Source organism: Homo sapiens, chromosome 22 (assembly GCF_000001405.40).
Source record: "Homo sapiens chromosome 22, GRCh38.p14 Primary Assembly".
In the NCBI taxonomy this organism is placed as follows: Eukaryota; Metazoa; Chordata; class Mammalia; order Primates; family Hominidae; genus Homo; species Homo sapiens.
In genome coordinates, this window is record NC_000022.11 from 38,402,145 (window position 1) to 38,409,381 (window position 7,237).

At 47.4% G+C, this 7,237-nt stretch overlaps 3 annotated features.

Moving 5' to 3' along the window:
- Positions 1,368-1,869: an enhancer, noted in NCBI's record as "H3K4me1 hESC enhancer chr22:38799517-38800018 (GRCh37/hg19 assembly coordinates)". NCBI's record gives its function as "activates a minimal SCP1, AML or CMV promoter by ChIP-STARR-seq in naive and primed H9 embryonic stem cells {active_cell/tissue: H9 hESC(naive and primed)}" and the evidence as "EXISTENCE:reporter gene assay evidence [ECO:0000049][PMID:30033119]".
- Positions 1,870-2,369: an enhancer, noted in NCBI's record as "H3K4me1 hESC enhancer chr22:38800019-38800518 (GRCh37/hg19 assembly coordinates)". NCBI's record gives its function as "activates a minimal SCP1, AML or CMV promoter by ChIP-STARR-seq in naive H9 embryonic stem cells {active_cell/tissue: H9 hESC(naive)}" and the evidence as "EXISTENCE:reporter gene assay evidence [ECO:0000049][PMID:30033119]".
- Positions 1,996-2,182: a transcriptional cis regulatory region, noted in NCBI's record as "candidate enhancer chr22.1870 targeted for multiplex CRISPR interference". NCBI's record gives its function as "positively regulates LGALS1 gene expression in K562 cells {active_cell/tissue: K562}" and the evidence as "EXISTENCE:mutant phenotype evidence [ECO:0000015][PMID:30612741]".

Sequence of the window (7,237 nt, forward strand, 5' to 3'; positions counted from 1 at the left end):
TGAAATGCCTCCTTCCATAAGGGTTGGAAGGATTAAACTAGAGTTTATTTTTATTTTTTATTTATTTATTTATTTTAATGTCATAGCGCTGGACCCAGCAGCAGGTATTTAGTAAGCCCGGCGGGTGGTGAGCATGTCCTCCCCTTCCCCTTCTGGCTGAAGCAGTTAGGAAGGCTGCCTGGAGGAGGCAGGCCTTGAAGGTAAGGGCTGATTCAGAGAGACTCAGAATGAGCACAGGAGAGACTGCCGGGCTCCCCCTGGCCCCGGGGCCCCTGAACACAGGCCAAGGGCTGTGGACCTTCTGTTGTCACAGCTGCCCATCCAGGCCCCACAGCACTGGAACCGTAGCCAGAGAGAGCTCTGCCTGAGAATGGGACAAGAAAACAAGCCCAGCCGGGCGCGGTGGCTCGAGCCTGTAATCCCAGCACTTTGGGAGGCCGAGGTGGGCAGATCACGAGGTCAAGAGATCAAGACCATCCTGGCCAACATGGTGAAACCACATCTCTACTAAAAATACAAAAATTAGCTGGGTGTGGTGGTGCTTGCCTATAGTCCCAGCTACTCGGGAAGCTGAGGCAGGAGAATCGCTTGAACCTGGGAGGCGGAGGTTGCAGTGAGCTGAGATCATGCCACTGCACTCCAGCCTGGGTGAAAAAAAGAAAAGAAAAGAAGGAAGGAAGGAAAGAAAGAGAGAAGAAAGAAAAGAAGGAAGGAAGGAAGGAAGAAAGGAAGGAAAGAAAAAAAAAGAAAAGAAAAGAAAAAAGAAAAGAGAGAGAAGCCCTGATTGCCACCAGCAGCTCATACCGATTGGCCCCAAGCCTGGCCAGCGAATGTTCAAAAAGCCTCCCTGACCCCATTGCATCTGCTCTAGGCAAAGTCTTGTTTTCTGGAAGGAAAGCAGCATTTATTAAAGACACTGCTCTGCTCTCACGCTTGCATGAGCCTCTTGCCCATGACGTTGCTGCCCTGAGATGCAAGTACCATTACTACCCTCAGGGAAGGAGAGGTCTTGCCGAACCCAGCATCTTGACTGCAGAGCTGGGGCTCTAACCACTGGGCTGCTGCCTTTTGTAAATGAATGGCTCCCCATCTCCTGCGAGCTCCTGAGGGCAGAGCGGAGTCTCCCCTGTGCCTGGCATGGGCCCTGCATTCAGCAGCCTCCTCAGGAATTTTGAGTAAGTGAATAAAGACATGTAAGGGTGACAGTTCAGTTTCAGAGTGACCCAGAGGCATCGCCCTAAGATGCAAAGATGCAGTGGATCTGAACAGTTGGAGGCGGAATCACCTGGGAATGTATAGAGTAGCTTCCAGAAGGACACACAAGGGACCAGGCACGGTGGCTCATACCTGTAATCCCAGCATTTTGGGAGGCCAAGGCGGGCAGATCACCTGAGGTCAGGAGTTGGAGACCATCCTGGCCAACATGGCGAAAACCGTCTCTACTAAAAATACAAAAAATAGCCGGGCATGGTGGTGCACGCCTGTTAGCCCATTTACTCAGGAGGCTGAGGCAGGAGAATTGTTTGAACCTGGGAGGCGGAGGCTGCAGAGAGCCAAGATCACGCCACTGCACTCCAGCCTGAGCAACAGAGTGAGACTCTGTCTCAAAAAAAAAAAAAAAAAAAGGACACACAAGGAATTGGCACCGGGGGTTGTGTCTGGGAATGGGGGTGGGAGGGAGACATACTTTTCTGCTTGAATGTCTGTGTTACATATTATAATGTGGTATCATTATAATGCGTCACCACGCGCAGGTCCATGAATGAATGCGGAAGTCAGTCGTCACCCGGGAGCTCCCTGGGCATGTGGACTCCTGGGCTGCAGCCCCAAAGGGAGGAAGCAGCAGGGCTATGGGTGGCAGGGGCCAGGATGAGCTCCTGGGTGATTCTGTCACAGGTGGCCCTGGACCACACTTAGGAACAAAATCGCCAGCTGGGTCCTCTTCCCACCGGCCACCCAGCCAGGCTCATTTGCATGATCTTTTGCATATATTTGCATGACTTCCCTGGTTCCAAATAAAGCCTGTTAGTCCTTATCCTCACTTCTGCTGGGTGCTGAGCAAAGCTTCTTCCCTCCCGCCCTCCCCTAGCACTGCCCCCGCCCAGACCTGGCTGGCCTGGACTAACCCCGTCCTTCTCACCTCCTAGCCCCAGTCAAATATGTCATCCTTTGACCCCATCTCCACTTTCTCCTAGTCCCCCAAGGCCTGGCACACACACATCACCTCCCCCACCCCAGAGCCGAAAGCCTGTTCTCAGTCCCACACTCGTTTTTTTTTTTTGTTTGTTTTGCTTTGTTTTTGAGACAGGGTCTCACTCTGTTGTGCAGGTTACAGTGTAGTGGTGTGATCTCAGTTCACTGTAACCTCTGCCTCCAGGGCTCAAGCGATCGTCCCACCTCAGCCTCCCAAATAGCTGGGACGACAGGCCCTCGCCACCACACCTGGCTAATTTTTGTATTTTTTGTAGAAGCAAGGTTTCGCTATGTTGCTGAGGCTGGTCTCAAACTCCTGGACTCAAGTGATCTGCCCGCCTTGGCCTCCCAAAGTGCTGGATTACAGGAGTGAGATACCATGCCCAGCCCAGTCTCATAATCTTTAGCCCCTCTTCTGAACTCCCAAAACACTGGTCCCCTCTTTTTTTTTTTTTTTTTTGAGATGGAGTTTCATTCTTGTTGCCTAGGCTAGAGTGCAGTAGTGCAGTCTCGGCTCACTGCAACCTCCACCTCCCGGGTTCAAAGGATCCTCCTGCCTCAGCCTCCGGAGTATCTGGGATTACAGGCACGTGCCACCATGCCTGGCTAATTCGTATTTTTAGTAGTGACGGGGTTTCGCCACGTTGACCAGGCTGGTCTTGAACTCCTGAACTCAGGTGATCCGCCTGCCTTGGCCTCCCAAAGTGTTGGGATTACAGGCGTGAGCCACTGCATCCGGCCCGGTCCCCCTCTTTTCAGTGCTTCTGTGTCCTCCTAAACATCCACTGAGCACCCAGGGCTAAGGCAGGCCCCTTGCCCATCTCATTCTCCCTAATCCTCCAGGGACTCTGTGAGACAGGACTCCACTGGGCCCATTTTACAGATGAAGAAACTGAGCCTCAGGAAGGTCCCATCACTTGCCAGAAAGTGGCGGCTCTTTCCATCCCACCAGCCTGCCTCTGCAAATGGCCCCGTGGCATTTTCGCTCATCTCAAGTGAATGTTATTTGGGTTTTGTTTTGCTTCACTTGCTGTAATTAGGTCTTTGAAATTATGCAAGTCATATGCACTTACTGTAAAAACATTAAAACCGCTGGGTGCGGTGGCTCACGCCTGTAATCCCAGCACTCTGGGAGGCCGAGGCGGGTGGATCACGAGGTCAGGAGATCAAGACCATCCTGGCTAACACGGTGAAATCCCGTCTCTACTAAAAAAATACAAAAAATTATCCGGGCGTGGCGGTGGGTGCCTGTAGTCCCAGCTACACGGGAGGCTGAGGCAGGAGAATGGTGTGAACCCAGGAGGCGGAGCTTGCAGTGAGCCGAGATCCCGCCACTGCACTCCAGCCTGCGTGACAGAGCTAGATTCTGTCTATAAAAAAACAAAAACAAAAACAAAAAAAACACAACACTAAAACCATCCAGGAATATTTGGGTAAAATATAAGTCTCCTCCTTGAATGCACCTGTCCCCCAATAACACTTTTTTTTTTTTTTTTTTGAGACAGAGTCTTGTTCTGTGGCCCAGGCTGGAGTGCAATGGCACGATCTCGGTTCTCTGCAAACTCCGCCTCCTGGGTTCAAGCGATTCTCCTCTCTCAGCCTCCTGAGTAGCTGAGATTACAGGCACCCGCCACCACCCCTGGCTAATTTTTGTATTTTTAGTAGAGATGGGGTTTCACCATGTTGGTCAGGCTGGTCTCAAACTCCTGATCTCGTGATCCGTCCACCTTGGCCTTCCTAAGTGCTGGGATGACAGGCGTGAGCCACCGCGTCCGGCCTCCCAATAACACTTTCTAGGAAGAGCCACAGTGAACAGTCTGGGGTCTCCTTCCAGAACTATTGACCTACAGACATGATATATTCAAATATATAGACATAATTTTTATTGTAAGATATACATGCAAAAGACATACAATTTTAAAAAAATAGAGATACCATGTACTCATCACCCATAAAAACTGCTAACACCTGAATTATACCCCTGTATGTCTCTATGCCTGCACCTCCTCTTTTCTCTCTATTTATTTCTGAGACAGAATTTCATTCTTGTTGCCCAGACTGGAGTGCAATGGCGTGATCTCAGCTCACTGCAACCTCCGCCTCCCGGGTTCAAGCAATTCTCCTGCCTCAGCCTCCCAAGTAGCTGGGAATACAGGTGCCCGCCACCACGCCTGGCTAATTTTTTGTATTTTTAGTAGAGATAGGGTTTCACCATGTTGGTCAGGCTGGTCTCCAACTCCTGATCTCAGGTGATCCACCCGCCTCAGCCTCTCAAAGTGCTGGGATTATAGGTGTGAGCCACCATGCCCAGCTGTATTTCTCTTTTTTCTTACTATTAGCCACATATATGTTCCTTAAGTAATAAGTGTAAGATGAGAATTGCTCAATTATTGTGTGTGCAACATGTTCAACTTTATTAGGCAAGGCTAAACTATTTTTGCAGGAGATTGAACCAGTTCATACTCCCGCCCAAAGCAGATGAGAGTCCTCACTGATTCATTTCCTTGCCAAATCTGAAACCGTTCAATTTCATAATATCTGCCAAGCCAGTGAGAGTAAAATCCCAACCCACTGCGGCTTTAATTTACATTTCCCTTATTACTAATGATATTGAATATCTGTCTTGTTTATATCTTCTTTTTTTTTTTTTCTTTGATGGAGTTTCGCTCTTGTTGCCCAGGCTGGAGTGCAATGGCATGATCTCAGCTCACCACAACCTCCGCCTCCCGGGTTCAAACTATTCTCCTACCTCAGCCTCCCAGGTAGCTGGGATTATAGGCATGCACTACCATGCCGGTTAATTTTGTATTTTTAGTAGAGACAGGGTTTCTCCATGTTGGCCAGGCTGGTCTTGAACTCCCCACCTCAGGTGATCCGCATGCCTCAGCCTCCCAAAGTGTTAGGATTACAGGCGTGAGTCACCACACCTGGCCCCTGTTTATATTTTCTATATCCTTAGTGATTCTTTCATCTTTTTGATGTGTCAGTCACTGAATGTTTGTCATAAAATCTCTAATTATATTGGCACCAGCATTATCGAAAGAAAGGAAAAAAAACTCTGTTTAGAATAATGGATTTGTTAGCTTCTCCTTGATTTGCTTTATATAGTTTGAGGTTGTGTTATCAGGTGTATAAGAGTTCAGAATTGTTTTTATCTTCCTGGAGTTATATACTCCTTCTTTGTTTCTAATAATACTTTTGCCTTGAAGCCTAGTTTGTCTGTTATTAATACAATGAAAAATCTTTTGGTTTTAATCTTTTTTTTTTTTTGAGATGGAGTTTCGCTCTTGTTGCCTGGGCTGGAGTGCAGTGGCGCGATCTCAGCTCACCGCAACCTCTGCCTCCCGGGTTCAAGCGATTCTCCTGCCTCAGCCTCCCAAGTAGCTGAGATTACAGGCATGCGCCACCACACCCAGCTAATTTTGTATTTTTTTAGTAGAGACGGGGCTTCTCTGTGTTGGTCAGGCTGGTCTCAAACTCCTGACCTCAGGTGATCTGCCTGCCTCAGCCTCCCAAAGTGCTGGGATTACAGGCGTGAGCCACTGCGCCCGGCCCTCACCTCGGCCTTTCAAAGGGCTGGGATTACAAACGTGAGCCACCGTGCCTGGCCTCAATGTCTCTTAAATCTCATTCAATCTATAGGTTCCTACTCTATCTCTTCTATTTTCCTTGCAATTTGTTAGTTGGGGAAACCAGGTCATTTGTCCTTCATATAAAATATTTTGTTTAATGAAATTATATAGATAATGATCTTTAGAAATACATCTTGGATATAACAAGTGTTGGAGAGGACGTGAAGAAAAGGGAATCCTTGCATATGGTTGGTGGGAATGTAAATTAGTATAGCCATTATGGAAAACAGTATGGAGGTTCCTCAAAAACAAAATAAAAATAGAACTACCATATGATCCAGCAATCCCACTACTGGGTGTGTATCCAAAGGAAATGAAATCAGTATGTCAAAAAGACATCTGCACCCCATGCTCATTGCAGTTTTATTCACAATAGCCAAGCTGTGGAAACAACTGAAAATGTCCATCGGTGGATGAATGGATCAAGGAAATGTGGTATATATACACCATGGAATACTATTCAGCCTAAAAAAAGAGACAGTCCTGTCACTGTCAGCACCGTGAACGAACCTAGAGGACATTATGTTAAGCGCAATAACACAGGCACAGAAAGACAAGTACGCGTGATTTCACTTAAACTATGGAATCTAAACAAGTTGAACTCAGCCGGGCACAGTGGCTCTCACCTGTAATCCCAGCACTTTGGGAGGCCGAGGCAGGCAGATCACCTGAGGTCAGGAGTTTGAGACCAGCCTGACCAACATGGAGAAACCCTGTCTCTACCAAAAATACAAAAAATTAGCTGGGTGTGGTGGTGCACGCCTGTAATCCCAGCTACTCAGGAGGCTGAGGCGGGAGAATCACTTGAACCCGGGAGGCAGAGGTTGCAGTGAGCCGAGATGGCGCCATTGCACTCCAGCCTGGGTAACAAGAGCGAAACTCCGTCTCAAAAAAAAAAGTTGGACTCACAGAAGCAGAGAGGAGAACGGTGGTTGTGCTGAGGCTGGCAGAGGGAGTGGGGGTGTTGGGAGATGTTGGTCAAAGGATACAAAATTTCAGTTAGATGGGAGGAATAAGTACAAGAGATCCATTGTACATGGTGACCACAGTTAATAACAATGTATTGTATTCTTGAAAATTGCTGAGAGTACATTTTAAGTGTTCTCACCATAAAACAATAAGTATGTGGTGACACCTACATTACTTAGCTTGATTTAGCCATTCCACAGTGCATACATAATTCAAAACAACATGTTGTGTACAATAACTACAATTTTTATGTTAATTTTTAAAATAAAAAATTTTAATGATTTTAAAAATAAGTATATAAAATATATTTTATTTTATTATTATACTATATGTTAATTTCCTTGTGTATATATAGCTCTCAAACTCTGGAGCTCAAGCAGTCCTCCTCCTCAACCTAAAGTACTGGGATTACAGGCCTGAGCCACTGCACCTGGCCTACAGTT